This window comes from Homo sapiens, chromosome 8 (genome assembly GCF_000001405.40).
Source record: "Homo sapiens chromosome 8, GRCh38.p14 Primary Assembly".
NCBI classification, from domain to species: Eukaryota; Metazoa; Chordata; class Mammalia; order Primates; family Hominidae; genus Homo; species Homo sapiens.
The window spans coordinates 120,502,193-120,523,636 of NC_000008.11; the positions used below are offsets into that span (position 1 = coordinate 120,502,193).

General features: G+C 33.7%; 1 protein-coding gene across 3 annotated transcripts in view; it reads left to right on the forward strand.

Annotated features, from left to right (window-relative positions):
• Nucleotides 1–21,444, forward strand: part of MTBP (MDM2 binding protein) — a 78,218-nt gene extending 56,774 nt beyond the window's left edge. The window contains exons 15-22 of one of the 3 annotated variants that reach the window (NM_022045.5): nt 300–417; nt 4,514–4,669; nt 7,742–7,837; nt 13,733–13,999; nt 15,659–15,908; nt 16,512–16,625; nt 20,462–20,527; nt 21,106–21,444. In NM_022045.5, coding sequence (NP_071328.2) covers nt 300–417; nt 4,514–4,669; nt 7,742–7,837; nt 13,733–13,999; nt 15,659–15,908; nt 16,512–16,625; nt 20,462–20,527; nt 21,106–21,144 — 1,106 coding nt within the window. In that variant the 3' untranslated portion in view covers nt 21,145–21,444. Of the gene's footprint in view, nt 1–299; nt 418–4,513; nt 4,670–7,741; nt 7,838–13,022; nt 13,045–13,110; nt 13,239–13,732; nt 14,000–15,658; nt 15,909–16,511; nt 16,626–20,461; nt 20,528–21,105 lie in introns of those variants that run through there. The other 2 variants (XR_928318.3, XM_011516962.3) reach the window with 2 other exon arrangements.

Genomic DNA, 21,444 nt, shown 5'->3' on the forward strand with positions numbered 1-21,444 from the left:
TAGCAAAGTTATGCTTTTATTCCATAGGAGTCCTAAATAGTGCTAATTCAATTTTGTGAATTTTAGCTTATGACATTTATTATGAAGTGATATTTTATTTTTATTTGCAACAAACATTTCTATGGCCTTTTGTACAGTTTAGGCCATCAGAGAGGTCTTTAATAAATGCCTAAGGTAAGTATGCCTTTATAGACACACATACACACACACGTATGTATGTGTCTGTAAATACACATTTTTATTAGCAAAATTCAGTATGATAATACTTTTCAGACTTATGTGTATTTCTTTCACTTTAGATTTTAGTCCAGTGGAACCTAATTCCTCAAGTCTAATGGAAACCAATCCTCTGGAATGGCCAGAAAGGCATGTTCTTCAAAATTTGGAAACTTTTGAAAAAACTAAACAAAAAATGAGGTAATATTTGAATCTGTAGTAAAGCATGTGATAGCTCAGTAATTTGAATGAATTTTTTAAAATAGTTAAATTATGTTTATGAGATTTAAGCAGTTTATTGTTTTATTATAAAAGAAATACATACTTACTGTGAATAGATAGTTAATCACTAGAGTAGTATATCAATTAAAAGGGAAGGGCTCATCTTGCTCTGCCCTGCACTTGTACTTTCTAGGTCTGTGTCATCACAGTGAACATTTTGGTATATAGCCTTTCAGACCATCTTCCATAGACATACACAGTATATGAAGATATAAGAAAATCTTACTACAAGAACATGTAAAACAAAGTAGAAGTACTTGCCTCATTTGAACCACTTTGATCTTTTCCTGTTTTACATTCATATATGTTTATACAGTGCCTATGAATGAACTGTATGAGGCAGGATTTTTTGTTTTATTTTGTTTTTGTTATTTTGGTTCAGTACATAGTAGGCCCTTAGTACATAATTGTTAAATGATGAAATAAAAGAGGAGAAGCTAAGCTCTCTTACATTACTTTTCTCCGAAATATTACAAATCACATTTTTATTTTTAGCTTCTCCATGGGTAGTATTTTATTACTTGCTATAGCTTTGTTTCATACACATGAAACAGGCATTTATTGAGTACCAACCATGTGTCAGGCGCTGGGAATATGAGGAATAACAAGCTGTGCACTGCCCCTCTCATCTAGAGCTTAGCTTTTAATGACAGCAGCAATCAAAACAAGTAACCAGACAAGTAAATGTAATAGTTGTAAATTATTCTGTGTGTAATGAATGAAATAAAAAGACTGGGGGAGAAAAATTTTATTTGTTGTGGGGAGGGAAGTGGTAGTACTCACTTAGATGAGGTGGATGGTCAGGGAGACCTCTTAGAGGACGTTACATTTGAGCTGAGACCTAACGGATAAATGGGTGAAGTACATTCAGTCACACAGGACCAAATAGGTCCTCATACACAGTTCAGATTTCATTTTAAGTGCATTGGTGGGAGGATTTCATATGAAAGAGTGATGGGATATGATTTTGCAAAAATTTTGCTTTCTTACGGCAAATAAATTGCAGGAGGGAGAGATTAGAGCAGAGAGACAGATGGCTCTATCTGTAGGCTAAGTGAGAGATGACTGTAATTTCAAACTAGAGCAGTAGTAGTGGAAATAAATTTGGGAGATAACGTTAGTGGTAAGCTGGTGAAAAGCTTCCTATGATGCATTAGATGTGGAATAGAGGGAAAGGAAATGTTGAAGATCATTTAGATTTCTGGCTTCAGTCGAGTGAGTGGTGTTCTTCTGGGGTAGATGGGTGGAAACTTAGGGTGAGGACAGCTTTGGGGAGAAAAAGTCAAGAATTCTTCTTTAGGGATGATACGTTTGATCTATCCAAGTGGAAATAACAAGTGGACTGTGGGGATATCTGGAACTCACTCAATTTGGAGTTATCATCAGTAGGGATTTCCAAATACATGATGGTTGATGAGTTACATGGTGAGACTATGAGGCAAAAAGAAATGGAGGCTAAGACCACTCCTTAAGAATCCCTGGTGTTTATAGGTTAGGCAGGAGAAGACAAGAAAGAAGAGTGAGAAAAGGACAGGTTCCCCATGAGAGAACCTCAATTTCTTGCCTACCAATTTTAGATGATATCTTATAACTTCCCACTGGGAAAGATGAGTAATTAACACCCTTATTTTTCTTCCCTTTTTATCTTCTATCTCTAAACCTTATGCTATTTGCAGTATACAAGTCTTAATTTTATTTTTCTTCTCTCTGAGTTCCTACTCTAACTTGGCTGACTCTACCTGCATATTTGTTATCCTGGTATTTCTTTTGATTACATTTTAGATTAGTTCTGTATTTTCTTGGATTTCATATATTAAAGAGAAGTCTGATGCCACATCGATTTTTGTTCCTCAATAAGTATTTTATTTTGTCTCTAAAACTTTTACAATTTTCTATTTTCTTTAATGTTCTGAAATTACAAGAGGCCATGGTATGAGATGTTTTAGATTCAAGTCTTTTGTCTTTTTGTGGCTCTGAGAAATATCTTATTATTTCTTCAATACTATTCTTCCCTTCATTTTCTTTTTTTCTTTCTCTCTGAAATACCTATTTTAATTAATATTAAACATTCTGGATTGATGTTTTTTAATTTGATTTTTTTCTTAATATTCTATCTCTAACTTTTCTGCTCTATGTTCTGGGGAATTTCCTTTACCTTTGGTTTCATCTTTTCTGTTAAAATTTTTGGTAGTCATATTTTAAATTTCTAATAGTTTGCTCTTGTTCTTCTGCTGTATTTTTTCTAGCAACCTATTCTTTTATTAATAAGACTTGAGATGATACTGTAAGGATATTAATTAGAATTTTCTTTAAATTTGTTTTATCTGTTTCTTGAATTATCTCATTTCCATTTGCAGCTGTTTTATTTGTTCTTCTGGTGTTTTTCTCTTATGTGTAATTTTTCTCCAGTGTCTGGTTGTCCTTGATTGTCTCTTCATAACTAGGAATATAGGGCCCTGTTGCTTTCTATAGGTAGTTGGCATGTATTTTCTTTCCATAGGTTTAGTCCTGTTCCCCACGTCTCTCACTTATATTAATGTTAGGAGAAGGGAGAGCCGGGGTAGAGAATGTTTGTCAGGCTTCACTTTAGGGCATACTTTAGGGTATCAGCAGGCAGGAAGCATTGGTGCTTCACCCAGCACTAAATTACAGGGGCTTTATTCTGGGCCATCACCACTGACACTGAGACAGGCACTGTATCTTTACAAATTAAAATCATTGTATAGCTCCCACCCTGCTGGAGTATGAAGTCCGGAGAGAATTTGAGTGTTTTGTTGACTGTTTTTATTAGATTAATATTTTCAGTTTAAAAACAAAGGAATAGGAAGAGGAAAGAGGCACTGTCAGTATTTTATTGACCCTTAATATACAGAAATATGTTTAAAACTGTAATGTCAACATTTTAATCATGTAATTATCAGTAATTATGCTTAATTTGAGTAATAATCAGGAAATAGTTGAGTTAATATGAAGTTAGGAAATTAATTTTCTGTGCAGACATTGAAATATTTTATTTATGCTATGGTAACAGAGCTAAGGTGATCTGATTCAGTGCATAGTGAAACCTCTAACTGAAACCTCTAACTGGAAACATCTAACTGAAACTACAGTGCTTTTCACTTGCCGGTATTTAAAACTTTCTGTGAGTTTTTTTTCATTTATAGGGTCATAGAGTAGAAATAATAACTAATTTGGAGTTAGTCTGGTTCTATCATTTTAAATAGCTGTATCACCCTGCGTCTGTAATGTAACCTTTTGTATGTTAGCATCTTTACTTGACAAGTCGGAATAATGATTGCTTTTTAAGCTTGGCATGCCGATTTTCACTTTACAAAGTACTTATTTTTAGTTATTATTTCATTTTGAGATAAGACCTATTCCATCTTTTTCAAGGAAACTTGTGAGGATTAAGAATATATTATATGTAAAGTAGTTTGAAAAATATAAAGTCCTGCATGTATTTCAGGTATATAATAATGATTCAGTGCTTATTCATAATGTCATCATCATGGCTACAAGAGACTTTGGGGAGATTTCTGATTATTGTCTCATTTCACGGTTGTGCTTCAAGTAATCTTTCCAGTTCATGGAAAATTGGAACATTCAGTCACTTCCCTCAAAAATTTATAGTATTGTGGGGTTTCAGAACATACAAGAGAATTTAGATTTAAGTTTTATAGAATTGGTAACTTCACACCACTGAATAATAGGCCATCATTAATAGATAATGTAATTATGTTTCTTTTAAGTAGTTAAAATACTACTTCTTGACATGATAACTGCAAGTTTTATTGTGACCTAAAGATTTTTTAAAACATAGTTAGAAACTAAGTTATTTGCAAATATTTTACTTTATTGTCTGTCCTAAATGTTTAATTCTCCCATGTTGCTGGTGTGTTTTTCTGGTTTCTGCTCACATCTTCTTTTCCCGACTGTGCTTTTTTTTTTTTTTGACTCTGGCTTCTCTCTGGATTGAATCCACTTTTAATAAATCTGCATAACATTATTTTCCCAGAACTGGTTCATTACCTCATTCATCTGAACAGTTGCTGGGCCACAAAGAGGGTCCTCGGGACTCAATCACATTGTTGGATGCTAAAGAATTGCTGAAGTACTTTACCTCAGATGGATTACCCATTGGAGATCTTCAACCTTTACCGATTCAAAAGGGGTAGGTTATAAACTTATAATTTCCAGTTAACTTTTTAAAAATTACTTTTAAATAAAATTGTGTCTCATTTCCTTATTAATTGATGTCCTATGCTACTCAGGGAAAATTTATAAGTTTGATCCCAATGTTTGTCTGTTGGCCTTAATCTTCACTTTTTACCTTATCAAAATATCCTACTGTTTTGTGGTATTGAATATAAGAGAAACAGGAATAAGAAAAGCAAACTCACCATATTCCCTGTAGAAGTCAGTAACTTCTATTTGGTATGCAAAGGACAATGCTTTCTAAAAAAAATAGGAATTTGACTTACAAAATTTTTTTTTTAGTTCTCTTTTCTGTGTTACTGTAGTGTTGATATTGCCACTACTCAGCATGAGCATTGTCAGGCATGCCTAATAGTAGCAAAAAGCATGGCCTTTCACCTGAAGAACAGGAAAATGTAATAAAAATGCTTTGGAAACTATGACATTGCCAAGTAAGAATTCAGTGTCTACGTGAATAAATTACAACTAATTTGACTTCCAAGACAGTTTTCACTAAGTTACTAGTTAATAAATGCTGCATGTTGCTGACTTTGACAAAATTGACTGTAAAATTGTGACATCAAATACCTGTGAGAATTGAATAATTTACTAATTACTCTAATGTCTTTTTAATTGTTAATTCATTACTTTGAAAACCTTCCAAAAGACCTTAAAAATTGTAGATCACTTTGATCACTTTTATAAGCTTAATCGGAATTATACTGTATAAATATTGCCTTTAAAGGTGAATTTTGCAAAGGAGTTATTTGAAGGCAGTTATATCTCAGAAATATTGCTGGAACATTATTGCTTTATGTGCATGTTCACTAGAGAGAGATAAAGAGCAACTGAAAATTTGAGAGTCTTAATGACTTAATGATTTTAATGACATAAAAATTATATAATTTTGGAGTAATTTTTTTCCCATAACTTTGAAAGATTGATAACCTTTTGTTGTGGGAATCAAGAAAGTAAAGAAATATACATGTTTTCATCTATTTAGTTATTGGATTACTGTCCTTTCAAATCATTAAGCACAAACTGGCAGAGTCAGTTGGTTTGCCTAAACTGAATTATTTATGTAAGTTGTACTCTTTTTACAGAATGTCTTTCTAGATGCATTGTAGGGGAGATAAAGTTAGTTCTTTCTGGAAACTAATTGTAGGTGATTTATTTAGGAAAATTTGATGTGATTCTTCAATGTTAGTAAAGAACTGCATGGCTATCAAATGTATCTTCTGTTAACATTAGAGTTGAAGGATGAGTTTTCATGGTAATAAATCAGGAACCTATATGCTCTTATTAAATGTTTACCTGCACAAGAAGCCATCCAAAATACTGTGTTAAACAAAGTACAAACATGACTCCTATGTATATACCAAGGAAATAATAAACATTGACAAAACACATATTTATCAACATGTTTATTTTAGAAAGAAAAACTTGTGAGTGAAATTAAACAAAAATAGGTAAGGTTGCTGAGGGCGATTGATATGAGAAATGAGAGACAATATGGTAAAGGAAAGAAGTAAAATGCTAGATAAAGATTTCCATTTTACAAAATTATTTTAATAATCATCGAAATACTGGGGTCATTGTAATTTACTAATGTTACTTTTTGTGGAATAATTTAAATGGATGCATTTGAATATAATGTCTGCTTTTTAGGATTCATTAATTGGCATGAATTTTACATTTTAATGTAATAATTTCGAATGCTTATCATAGTACCCTAGATAATTTTCAGTGGCAGGACAGTTTTCATTACCAATGCCATAGGGGGGAAAATGTGATAGCAAATTTATTCTTAGTACTCTACTATTTACTTACCCTTCTACATACCATTTCCAACTCTTCTGAACTCAAGCCCCTGGTATTTCATTTTACCTAGTAACTATTTAAAGACCACTGTTGCATAATTTCCCCATTTCCTGAACTTCTGAGCTTCAGGACCATGATCCATTACATTACAACAGTGGTTTCCAGCTCAGAGAAGGACGGCACCTATCGGAATAATCCAGAGAGCTTAATCTAATTGCAGTGACCCTCTTCTTTCCCAGATTTTGATATATCGCTGTAGTTCTAGGTGTGGAAAGGCTTGAACATGAATATTTTATGTAAACTCGACATATGATTAGTTCTAACATGCCAGTTGATTGAAAACCTACTTCAGAAAAAGAACTGAACTCAGCAGTTAGTCTCTATACCCTCTGATATTTAAAAAGTTGCTGACTCTTAAAGTAGGTGCCAGTGACTACATTCTCAAGCAAAGAAAGATCTGGGTCCCACGTGTTTTAGTAGGAAGTAAATACTTTTATTGTTACCAAAGATTCAAGTTGACTTTAATTATTCCCCTGCAGAAAAGGATTTAACTAAATGCCTAAACATTAGTTTACTCTACCAAGGAAAATCTTCCAGAAATAAGGCTGCCTCTTGGCTGGACGCAGTGGCTCATGCCAGTAATCCTAACACTTTGGGAGGCTGAGGCCGGCGGATCACTTGAGGTCAGGAGTTTGAGACCAGCCTGGCCAACATGGTGAAACCCTGTCTCTACTAAAAATACAAAAATTAGTTGGACATGGGAGCGGGTGCCTGTAATTCTAGCTACTCGGGAAGCTGAGGCAGGAGAATCGCTTGAACCTGGGAGGCAGAAGTTGCAGTGAGCTGAGATTACACCACTACACCCCAGCCTGGACGACAGAGTGAGACTCCGTCCCCACCGCCCCCCCAAAAAAAGAAAGAAATAATACTGCCTCTTGAATTTCCATTATAAATCATATTGCATTTTTGTTTTACCCATTTCTCAGAATAGTTTTGTGCAATAAATAACATCATAACTTATTGAGGTACAGAAAATTTAAGTAATGAAAGCCAAGGCCTAACCTTGCTTCATTTCCTTATTATACTTTCTGGTGTGCCTTAACCTTTGTCCCATATAAAATTCCAATTGTAGAGGAAAAAGTCAGATTTGTTTCATTAGATACTTTCTTTAACTTTCTTTTTGTCAGTAAATAAACTTTGAATACAAATGAAAAATTTTTTGTTTCAGGGAAAAGACTTTTGTTTTGACACCAGAACTTAGTCCTGGGAAACTTCAGGTCTTACCTTTTGAGAAAGCCTCAGTATGTCATTATCATGGAATTGAGTAAGTTTTTATTTGTACTTTACTCTTCTGTATGTTGTTGATACAGCCTGTCTTGTGTGAAGAGTGACTTTAATAAAATGATATAAATTGAGACAGAGACCAAGAGGATATGTCAAAAACCTCAAAAAGCAAAGTAGTGCATACAAAAATAATTTGTCTTCTGTTGAAGAAGTTATTTGATGATTAATCAGCTTAATAGCATTTAAGCATCCTATTATTAGTTACTATATATTTTAATCAAAATTGTTTTGGTCCCTATGTTATAAATGTATATTCACACTATGGGTCACATTAATATTTCCTGGTCACCAATTACATTGTAGTTGCTCAGAAATTGTTAGATAGGGCCCAGCATTTCAATACTAGATATTTTTCCAAGAGGAAGACTTATACAAGTATGCACATAATAGTTTAATTCTCAATATCCTCAAACTGGAAAGAGCCTAGGAGGATATCAATAGGAAAATAGATAAACTATGGTATATTTATATAAAGCAATACTATTCAACTATAACAAGGAATGAAATATCGATACATCCAGCAACATTAAATATCTGTCTGTGTGAAAAATACTTGAAATAAGGATTTGAGGCCAGACACGGTGGCTAACGCCTGTAATCCCAACACTTTGAGAAGCTGAGGCAGGTGGATCGCTTGAGCCCAGGAGTTTGAGACCAGCCTGGGCAACATGGTGAAACCCTGTCTCTACAAAAAAAATATAAAAATTAGCTGGGCATAGTGGTGTATGTGTGTGCCTGTAGTCCTAGCTACTCAGGATGCTGAGGCAGGAGGATCGATTGATATTGGGAGATTGAGGCTGCAGTGAGCCATGAACATGCCACTGCACTCCTGCTGGGTGACAGAATGAGACCCTGTCTCAAGAAAAAAAAAAAAAAAAAGAATTTGAAGACTTTGAAATTAGCAGTATGAAGTATAACATTCAATAGTGATTTATTTCTAAAAGAAATCCTGTATGAAATGCTAATTTGAATCTAAATGGTAAGATAAGATTTTTAAATTGTTTTGTGAACAACAGATCGGCAACTCGGAGATAGCTACTAAATTATAAAAAGATAAGATATGCCACCCGATCCATGTTTTTAGTTCTGCTATTTGACTAAAGGATTCCTTGTTTGAGAGGATTATTATTCTCCCTTTAACATGAAAAAGGTAGGGATGTTTCCCAAATAGCCTTAAATTTAGCTGAAGCTTTTACTTAAACTATATTTTTAGCCATATACCCTTCTGTGGATTGATTACAAAATTTTACTTCTCTTTTTTCTTTTCTAGACAGTCTCACTTTTTCACCCAGGCTGAGTGCAGTGGCACAATCTTGGCTCACTGCAACCTCCGTTTCCCGGGTTCAAGTGATTCTCATGCCTCAGCCTCCCAGGTAACTGGGATTACAGGCATGCACCACCACGCCTGGCTAATTTTTATATTTTTAGTAGAGACAGGGTTTAGCCATGTTGGCCAGGCGGTCTTGAACTCCTAACCTCAGGTGATCCACCTGCCTCAGCCTCAAAAAGTTCTGGGATTACAGGCATGAGCCACCGCACCCACCCCAAAATTTTACTTTTCATTTATACTAAGTTCATTAAATTTAAGTGGGAACATCTTGTTCTACTATATAAACATTTGATTAATAGGATATATTTTTCTGTTTTCCCCCTTCTGATTTTATTAAAGACTTAGAAATTAAACATTATAGAAAAGTTTATAATGAAAACCAACAATTCCTTTCCTTATTACTACCTAACTGCATCCCAGTTTTTAGAAAAAAACAATATATATATTATTTGTTTGGTTTAGTTTCCCTGGTGGTTATCTCTCATTTTAAAAAATACCCTTATGTCAATATTTTTAACTGTCACAATATAAAATATTGACTCTGCTATGAAGATTTGGTTCTTCTTCTCAAGTTGAGCTCTCCGCTATTTACTTTCATGTTTTTAAATATATACACATTTAAACTTCTCCTTCTTATTCCATCAGCTATAAAGCAGTATCTCCCCCACTTTGTTTGATAAGAATTTTAGGACCTGTTAATCTGTTAATCTGTTAAAGGAAACTAATTAAAAATTTTAGGTATTTTGTATTTAATTTGAATGTGAAAGTTGAAACCAGTCAACAGTGTTTATATTATTATTATGAAAAGTAGCGTTCACTGTTGAGAAAATGTGCTAGTATTAACATTTGCTTTGCTACATGGCCAGAATACCCCAGGACACATCTGTTTTTCTCTTCTTCAGCCCTATAAACACACTGAAGCACTGATTTGAATAAAATAAGCTACAATAATTACATTTTAACTGCTGACTAAAGTGTCCATCATATAATCTTATTTAGATTATTTCTCCCAAAATTTTAATTTAGTTTTGTTTATTCTGTGTCTCCATCTCGCTACTCTTTTTTTTCTGCTGTTTTTAATTTACTATAGAAGAAATCTTGATATATACAAATTTATAAAATTTGTCAAGGATATGTTCTTCATGATCATTTATCAAAATATTAAATTAAGATTTATTTGAGTACTGTGTCCTGAAGGGCTTAAATCTACACAGAGCTTTATTAACTTATACACATACAATGTTATGAAATTCTGATTCACTGTAAAAAGTATTTCTCTTCTCCACTACCTACCTACTCCCATAAACAAATAAACAAATCTATCTGTGACTCACTTTTTTTTACTGTAAATTTATGCTCATTAAACTGGGGACATTGAGACTAGGCTGACAAAGTTGTAGGAGGTGAGCACCATGAATTCAGAAACATGTTTTTTTCAAGAAGATTTGGGTGTATAGTATGAGAACCGATTTATGTTCAACATAGATTATGGTGTAGAAACAAAGTCAAGTAACATTTTAAAGTAAATATGAAACTACAAAGAAAGTTCTCTTACGTTATTGTGGGCCTTTAGAACCCTGGAGCTCTTTCTCTGATACAAAGGAATATTTGGAAAGAATGTGTTAATGGCATGGGAGCAAAACAATGTTTTTTAAGGCAAGTTAAAATATTAACCACTGTTGGCTTGTTTGTTTTTTCACTTATTTACCCTATCCTGGAATTTAAGATGCCATTAATTGTAAAATACACTGTTTTATTAAACAGCTAATTAAACTCTGCTGTCATACTCTGACAATCATTTGATCACACCAGGCTCTCATTGCTTTGAAACTTCCTTCATCTATTCCAAGAGATTTGGCAGTTCCTTCTGCCTTAATTGGTATTGGTTGGTTTGTGATAGGCAGTATTTTGTGTATTTCTTAGTTACAAAACAAAAACAGCTTCATTGTCTTATGGGTGTTTTTCTTTGTTAGGACCCATAAAGCATTTGCTTATTGTTTTGTAAGAAAATATGGAATTGTGGTCATTCATCCAACAATAAATTTTTACTTCACTAATATCAAATATACACCCTGCCCCTTGCCTCTCTGTTTCTTTTCTCTAATTTACAAAGTAAATTTTTGTTCCGATGGCAAATCATAGTATAATCATTTTAAAGATATTTTAAATGGCAATTAACATCAACATGTACAGTGTGCATAATTCAGTTGAAGCTATGACACTATGAACAGCTGTGATCAAGAGATGTTAAAACCGGAAGAAAAAAATCTGCATCTTAGAAATAAAATCTTAAGGTAGAAAGAAATATTCATCTTAGAATCAAAATATGCATCTTTTCTCTCAAAAATTTTCTGTATTCAAGCTCATCAGGCATTATATTGCCTCTTGCCAGACTCTTGAAATTCACATTTCCAATTTTACTCTAGATTCTACCAATTACCCATGATAGAAGTCGGACTCATCAGTAACCCTTAGGGTTGCTTCTGGTTTTTAATGAAATATGTTTCTTAAGCAACAGACTAGAGAAAGAATATTAGCTAGAGAGATGCCAAGACCTAGGTTCTACTCCCTACTCTGCCACCAACTCACATTCAGATTTAGAGATCAATTTTGTCACCGGTTAAATTAAACTGAGTAGATCAGAGATTTTTCAGTCCTAGTTATAATTTAGAATCATCTAAGTAGACTTTTTAAAAAGTGTGTATTTTTAATATTTAAATATAATTAATTTTAATATAATAAGATGTTTTGATGTACGTATGTATAGTGAAATGATCACTGTAGCCAGGCAAACTAACATAACCATCATCTCACATAGTTACCTCTTGTTTTGTGTGCCAAGAGCACCCAAAGTCTAGTCTCTTAGCAAATTTTCAATATACAGTACATATGATTAACTATAGTCCTTGTACTGTATGCTAGATTTCTAGATTTATTCATCCTACATAACTCTGCAACTTTGTACCCTTTAATCTACATCTTTCCATAACCTTCCCCATCCCCATAACCACTATTCTACTCTGTTTCTATGGATTTGAGTAGTTTTTTAAGAATCACCCAGGCAGATTTTTAAAACTGTCAAAGACAGAGTATTACCCTAGACCAATTAAATCAGAAACACTGAGCAAGTAGTATTTCTTGAAAGCTCTTCAGATGGTTCTAATGCTCAGCCATGTGTTGAACAGGAGTAAGATGATTCTTACACTTTACATAGAGATAGTATACCAAAATGGTTAAAGTCAGGCTCTGAAGTCACCAACCTGGGTTTACATTCTGGCTGTGCTACATATTGTCAGCATACTGCCAGCTTTACTGTGGTAGAAAATAAATCTAATGATGATGATAACAATAATAGTAACATACATTTCTTGACTGCCCTGTTTGCATGTTTCAGGCACTGATTCTAAGTGTTTATGTGTACAATTCAAGAAATTATCACAATAGCTTTTTCAGATAAGTACTATAATTCTCATTTTGCAGATGAAGCAACAGAATCATAGATAAAATTAAGTAATTTGGCCAAGTTCTCACAGCTAATAAGTAGAGGAGCCTGGATTTAAATCCATGGACTCTGACTCCGTAAGTCTGTATCAAATATGTAAGTGTCACAAGGGAAAGATAAGGTTCTTAAAACCTCCATCAAGCAGTCAGATGTTCAGGAAATGATAACACTCCTTGGGAGTTGAACTAAATCTTTTGGATACAAAAATCTGATTTTAGGCAGTATCTTAGAATTTTGCAGGTAAAAATGACAGGTCACAGAGAAAGGTTTTAATTTGTACAGTGCTACCATCACATATGTGAAGCCATTTGTGTTTTTTTAATGCTGTTGTAGATAAGGAAGAAAGTGAAGAGTTGTCCAAGGTCACACAGCTCCTAGGTGATCTTCCTGATATCCTTGTTTGTTGTACTTAACAACCTAGGATTTCTTTGAGTCCAGAAGCATTCACTGAGCTGACATTTCATTGATGCCCTGAATCAGATTCAGCTAGAAACCACATGCACAGACAGCCGAAGTGTTTGAAGGAAAATCTGTCAATTAGTTAATAAGGTGGGAACTGAGTTTCAAAGAAAAAATTCTAAATGTTCTAAGCTGTTTGGTGAGCCAGTTTAGAATGCCTTTATACCCTTTTAATCTTTGTGTTGAGAATAAACTTGCCCTTTCTAACAGAAGTCAGCAGTTCATGTTGTCATATATCAGCCATACTGAGAAATCAGGGGTTGGTAGAGTTTTAAAAAGCATTAAAACAGCAACTGTATTATTTTGAAAATAAGCCAAAGGATTAACTTAATCTGTTGCCCAGAAACACAAGTGAAAGAGAAACACAAGTGAAAGACATTTTTTAATCTTTTGCCATATCATATAGCAAACTAGAAGAAAACTGAACTTGGGAGGGAAATAGGCCAGCCACTCAACCTTCCAGCAATTATTAGGAAATTAAACAAGAACTCTTAAAGTAAATGTCCTGCTATTTTCTCATTGAAAGGGGAAAGTCTGTTGCTCTCATGGAGGTTTACATTTTAATGCTCTTTCACTCATTTTAGATATTGCTTGGATGACCGAAAAGCTTTGGAAAGAGATGGAGGATTTTCTGAACTTCAGTCTCGTCTTATTCGTTATGAAACTCAAACTACCTGCACCAGAGAAAGTTTTCCAGTACCTACTGTGTTGAGCCCTCTTCCATCTCCTGTAGTTTCGTCAGATCCTGGAAGTGTCCCTGACGGAGAAGTTTTACAAAATGAACTTCGAACTGAAGTATCCCGATTGAAACGGAGATCTAAAGATCTGAATTGCCTTTATCCCAGAAAAAGGTGATATATTACATGCACATAAATAGTATATTGACAGAAAGTATTTTAGTCTCGAGGATTTTTATTTTATTTTATATTAGTCTTTCAGGTTAATTTCTTCATGGCAAGAAGTTTGTTTTATGAGCTGTTGATAATTTTGCTTATAAGTTATAAAAATAAATGATTTGGGAAAAAAACACAGTTTCTTGCTTTATATGCTAATATACAGTCCATTAGCACAATGGATTGTAAAGTTTTTAAGCCATGGAACAGTGGAGATTTCACCCCATAGATTAAGCTGCTGAGCTGCCCTGTTGAAGAGACTGTTTGGGGATGGGAGTTCTCCCATTAGCTCTTCCTTTCCTTTCCCCTCAGTTTCCTGCCTGCATTGTTCCCTTGAGCAAGAGATTCCATGAGGTACCATTTTTAAAACACCTGTTACATATAAAATATAGCTTTAAACACTGCATAATGATAGAATATATGAAACTTTTCTGGATGCGTTAGTTTGCTAACTAAATGAAATATCCAGATACTTGATCAGAAGTTAGAAGTTTATGTAGTGAACACTAATTTTTATTGAATTTATGTTATCTTTAGAACCTTTGTCAAACTTAGGTTCTTGGCATCTAAAGCAAGGCTTGAATTCTTATTGTATTTAAACCTTGCAAAAAGTATGAACTATATGAAAACATAACTTTCAGATCTTTTTTTGAATAGTTAAGAAAGTTAGAATAAGGTTACCCTGATATGGAAGAACTCAGTCATTTTTATGAGGACTTTATAAATTCATGGTACTTTTTATACCTGATAAAATTAAAAAGCAGCAGTTACATTTGGGGTACTATATTTATAGCCATATTTCTTATTTCTGACCTATGGCTAATAAAAATATATGTGTTCCTAAAAGGAATGTATACTGTGGCTTCTGGGTCAGCAGAATTGAGGGCTATAAGACCCTATCTTGTAAAGGGAAAAATTTGGGCCTTGTCAGGAACAAATGTAAACATTTTAGGAAGATTGAAGTATGAACCAGTTTTATAGTTTATTTGTATTTGTTTTAACACTATGACTTATTTTGCAAGGGAGTTCCATGGGTATAAAAAGATACAGGTTGTGGTGTTTCTGTTCAAATTATCTTAACAGAAAAGTATAAATATTTAACAGATTAGTATTAAATCTATAAATAGCAGCACTCTTGGCATGCATAGCTGATTTATTTGAGAAATTGTAAATTGGAGGGATGGGAGAGAGTATAACAATATTGTTTGTTGCTTTCTCTATTAGCCAAAATCCTAGTTTGCTATTCATTACCTTCTATGTGTTAGTTACTCATCTGAAGAACTAAGGAACAACTTTATAATATGATGTTTATTGCTTACTTAAGGCAGTAATAGCAATAAATTTTGTTTGCTTTTCTTGAATTTATGTTATAATGGATATAGTGGTAACACTATAACATAGTGGTATAGTGTTATATATTATGTAATATATTATGTTATATATTATCTATTATGTAATAACAGTGGTATAATATAGTGGTAACACACTGGTAAGACAGAAAATGAACTTCGATGTTGATTCACTTAATGGATATAGTTGTAATATTTAAGACAGAAAATGAACTTCGATGTTGATTCGCTTAATCTACGTTCTTGATTTTTTTCCCCTGCTATATAGACTTGTGAAATCTGAAAGTTCAGAGTCTCTTCTTTCTCAGACAACTGGTAATAGTAATCACTATCATCATCATGTGACATCCAGAAAGCCACAAACAGAACGGTCCTTACCAGTGACTTGTCCATTGGTTCCAATTCCTAGCTGTGAAACTCCAAAACTTGCTACAAAGACCAGTTCAGGTCAAAAAAGTATGCATGAATCAAAAACATCAAGGCAAATTAAGGAATCAAGATCACAGAAACACACACGGGTAAAGATTTATTTCCCATTTTTCTTAGTTCTACATAGGAAGACTTTTTAAATTTGATTACTTTAAAATATATGTCTAAAAAATTTTATGAATGAAATGAAACGATGTCTAGAATTTACTGGTGTAAGAAGGATGATAGGAAAGTAGGTGGGGATATAATTGAAACAAGATTAGCCACAGATTAATCATACTTGAAGCTGGTTAAAAGATATATCAAGATAGAAATTTGTTATAAAATATTCTGTGCGTGTCAAATATTCTCTACTTTTCTATGCTTGAAATTTCCCATAATAAAAAATAAATATACACTTACATATCCCTGCTGTGTGTAACTTTAACACTCAGATTTCAATTCAGAACTCATGATTTGAGTTCCTTTCTTAAGACACTGTAGTCATTTCCTGCTAACATATTATTCCTGTGACACTTCTGACCATGTAAATGTTAGATCTTTTTTTTCTCAATCATTTTGTCTTAATGAACCTGTCTGTCTTTTAGCACAGCAAAATGAATGTGTAATTCACAGGATTGAACTCTAAAGCTGAAATAATAGGTTTGTGCCTTTTCCAAGAAATATTCGTCATATGTTATGTTCTGTTCAAGATACTGAAAGAAGTAGTTACTGAAACCCTGAAGAAACACAGTATTACCGAGACTCATGAATGTTTCACTGCATGCAGCCAGCGTCTCTTTGAAATCTCTAAGTTCTATCTAAAGGTACGGTATCTTCTCTACTAATGGCAAAATTTAGTTCATGTTCTAATGTTCCTGTTTGACATAAAAAAAAGTTTGAGTATTTTTTATACTGAGAGCGTATACTTGCTGCCAGATTTATTAAATGATGGAGATAGAAAAATTGAAGCCAAAATACTTTATATTTGATTTGATTTGAGTTCTCATATATAGAAAGCTACATTTTAACCAATATCCTATTTCCCCTAATGTGCATTTGACTTACAGGTAATAAGCTTCATAACATGTTTAATTATTAATTTTTTAATACAGTTGGCCCTCCATATCTGTGGGTTCTATATCCATGGGTTCTGCATCCATGGGTTAACTGCAAATTGAAAATGTTCTGAAAAAAAAAAAAAAAGGATGCTGCATCTGTACTGAACATGTACAGACTTTTTAAAAAGTATATGGGAAAATGTGCATAGGATATATGCAAATACTACACCATTTTATATAAGGGACTCGACTGTCAGTGGATTTTGGTATTCTCAGTGGGATCATGGAATCATCCTTCGCAGAGACCAAGGGATGACTGTGTAGTAAAAAGGCTACTGGACTAAATATCAAAACACCTAGTTTCTAATTTTGGATCCATTATCAGCTAGTTGTAAGACATTGGACAGGTCAGTCACTCAAGACGATGGTTTTCTAAAACTTAGACAATGTTAGATTATGTCCAGCCTTAGGAGTTTCTGACCTGAATCACAGTTATCTGTGGGTTTCTGGTTAAAACTGCAGATCTATCACATATCCAAGAGAAAGGACAAGAAAAAACTGGAAATGTTTTTAATACATATTGAACAATAACAAAAAAGCACATGGAAGTGTGGTGTAACAGAGTGAAAAGAGTTACAATTTAATTGGGTGCCTAGTGGAATACTAGTGAGAAGCATGTTAATTCCACAGAAGCTGAGGTGCTCAGGATTTGAAGACACCAGCTATCATGGAAAGCAGGGGCGAGGGTCCATGTAGAAAGCAGGGAAGTTTAAATAAAGATCTACAAAGTGACCTGGAGATTGTCCAACTTGCTTTGCATGCTCTTCTCCCCAAATGTTCACTACAAGGTCTATCATGCATAGGTTTTTCCACCCACCTCAGTGACACTGTAGGAAATAGTCGCTGGGGAAAATATTGGAAGCTGCAGTGGAAAAGCTAACTGGCCATCTTGTCACTCTACCTTGAAAAGAAACCAGTGACAATCTCTGCACAGAGTTTCCAGTCAGATTTTTAGTGTCTCACTTTTAAATATGACTAGACAGCCATGGATTAGCAGGCTTTGAGGAAAGCTTCTAACACAATTGATGCCAAAACATATAGGAATAAAGGGAACTCTGAAGAAGCAGGAAGTTGAAGAAAACTTCATAAAAACTATAATTCTCATAGAAAGAAGATAATCGCATCCATAAAACTAGAACAGGATGCTGTTTCCAAAAAAAGCATAAAACATGAAAGCTCCATAACTTTAAAAATATGATAAAGTCAATTAAATAGAAAGGCTGAACAGTTGAGATGAAAAAAATTTACCAGAAATTAGAATCAAATGACAAAAACATTAAATCCAGGCTAAGAAAATTGGAGGATTAATACAGAAGATCCAAAATGCTAATAATATGAATTTTGTATTTTTTGAACAATTTTCTCTCCTTTGTTCTCAAAGTTTAGAAGAGAGAAACTTGTTCAAAAATATAACAAAGTTTTCCAGGAGTGGACACAAGCGTCCTAGCTTGTCCAAGCCAATGAATGAAAATTCTTCAACGAGTCACATAATTATGGAATTTCACACCTCTTAGCATGGAGAGAACATTTTCTAAAAGCTTCCCAGGAAATAATCTAGTTTATATATAGTGAATCAATAATCAGAATGGCATTGGACTTCTCCACAGTAACACTGTATGCTAGAAGATAGTAGAAAAGTATCTTCAAATTCTGAGGGATGTGCATTTCTAGAATTAAAAAAAGAAAAAAGAAAAAAGAAAAGAAACTTCTGAGGGAAGGTGACTTACCTAGTATTCTATACCCAGTCTGGAATGCAGTCAGGTATGAGGATTTAATGAAGATACATTCAAACATGGAATATCTGAAAAAGAATTTATTTTACCCTTTTGAGGAATCTGCTAGAAGATGAAGTTCAACAGAACAAGGGACTAAATCAAGAAACAAAACAAAAACTAATCTAAAATGGAAAAGACAAGTCCTAATAGGACCAGGCCTAGGCAGCAACTAGAACAAATTAGAGGAGGCTATGGGAGAAAGATCTCCAGGTTTAAAAAATTTAATTAAAAAGACCAAAAGCAGAAAGGAAGCTGAACTGAGAGATTATCCTGTATACTTCAGGGCTTGAAAAAACTTTGCTGTACATTTAGCCCATTTATTGCCAGTATTTAGGAGTGAAAAACCCAGAATTATATACATGGAAAGCTGAGCAAATGAAAAAAGCTAACAGGTAGTTAACAGGATAAATAGAATATTGGAAGAAAGATAAATTATAACCATAATACATTAATTAGCACACAATTGAAAGTATTTACATAGATACAATAGTGTAAACACTGCCTATTTACAATCAAAAATTGTGGTACAACTGTTCTTCAAAGGAAGAGAAGGAAGGTTTTGTGTACGAGACCTGAATCCATCCATGACGTTCTCCCTAACATCAGTTCTCCCTAACATCAGTAGTCAGTGTCTAAAAGTGTTTAATCACCAAGTAGCAACATAAGCATAGTAGTTAGAAACATTAAGGTATAAATAAGGGAAAAACCTGAAAGAATTGAAAGTGGCTGCCTTTATGGAGCGTAACTTGGAAGTACAACAGATAACTGCTTCTTATCTTTTTAAATACAATTCCATTTCTTTTACTTTGTAATAATCACTAAATTTTTAAAAGTGAGACATCAGCTTCCTTTTGTATGTCATTCTTCTTTATGATGGAGTCAAATAGCCAAAATGAAGAAAAAATATCTTTTACCTGATAAATAAATACAAACCATATGTTTGTTTCTGGAGTAATGCAGCATTAGTGGATGCTCACGGTGGAGGATGGGAGAGTAATGCAGCATTAGTGGATGCTCACGGTGGAGGGTGGGAGAGTAATGCAGCATTAGTGGATGCTCACGGTGGAGGGTGGGAGAGTAATGCAGCATTAGTGGATGCTCACGGTGGAGGGTGGGAGAGTAATGCAGCATTAGTGGATGCTCACGGTGGAGGATGGGAGAGTAATGCAGCATTAGTGGATGCTCACGGTGGAGGGTGGGAGAGTAATGCAGCATTAGTGGATGCTCACGGTGGAGGGTGGGAGAGTAATGCAGCATTAGTGGATGCTCACGGTGGAGGGTGGGAGAGTAATGCAGCATTAGTGGATGCTCACGGTGGAGGATGGGAGAGTAATGCAGCATTAGTGGATGCTCACGGTGGAGGATGGGAGAGTAATGCAGCATTAGTGGATGCTCACGGTGGAGGATGGGAGAGTAATGCAGCATTAGTGGATGCTCACGGTGGAGGATGGGAGAGTAATGCAGCATTAGTGGATGCTCACGGTGGAGGGTGGAAGTTATTTTAGGTCAGCTCTATTGGGAATAGGAGAGGAGAGTGAGATGGACTTATGTATATGTGTATGTATTTTGGTTAGAGTATTTTGATATTTCAGAATGGAACTAAATTATAATCTAGTACTTAGATTTTTTTTGTTGTTGTAGTCTGTCCCTAATCACATTAATACGTGTAGAATGATTTAGAATAATCTCAAGTGTATTTAATAATAATGAGTTGTTCTTTGTAATTTAATGTGCAGATTGTAAAATGCTGTATTTTATTATGTTTAGGATCTTAAAACTTCAAGGGGTCTATTTGAAGAAATGAAGAAAACAGCAAACAACAATGCTGTACAGGTAAAGAAATTATTCCCAAGAAACTATATTCAATTAAATTGGTATTTTATTTCAGGGTTGCTCTGATGCCATTATATATGCAGCAGTAATCAGTTACTGGTCTTTTTCAACTCTGTCCCTATGAAAACTCTTTAAGAAACTTCATAGGCTTATTTAGGCTGAGTATTTCATAGTATTTAGTAGATTGCTCTGTCAGCAAAAGAGTTTCTAAAGTGACACTAAGAAAGCAAAAGAAAAAATAAATTAGCTGGAAAAACCAATCCATTTTGGTTAGCTGTTTTCAAAGTTTAGTTTAGTTTATTTGATTGACCATTTGAAACATATTTTCATATAAAGGTGAGAAAATGGAGCAGAATCTTCATTTCATCCAGTGAGAACATTATTGTACTCAGTATTGGAAGTCCAACAAAAATGTTCTTCCATTAGAAAATAAAATGTGTATTTAAGTATAAGATTTCAGTATCTTCCTTTTTATTTGAAATTTTCTACCATGTTCTTTTGAAGTTTTTACAATATATTTTTCTATTACTTGTGTTTTCAAGAGAAATCTTCTGTAATCATATTTTTTCTCCCCCTAGGTGATTGACTGGGTATTAGAAAAGACAAGCAAGAAATGATACATAATCATTCTCTTTAAGACAATTATAAATTGGATGGAGCTATTATTCACTACTTCTTTTCTTAGTTTGAAAATTATAAACAAATTTTAAGCTTTATTCAAAGAATAGATGTTATATTTCTAAAGAATTTCATGAATATATATTCTATATTTGTATAGTTTGAGGGATGCTATGTTAATGTATTTTTAATTAGATACATATTTTGTAAAGTGTTACTATATTTTAAAGTTATTTTTATATGTTTTAAAATGTTTACTCTTATTTAATTATTACAATAAACAGAATTTTTTTTTTTTA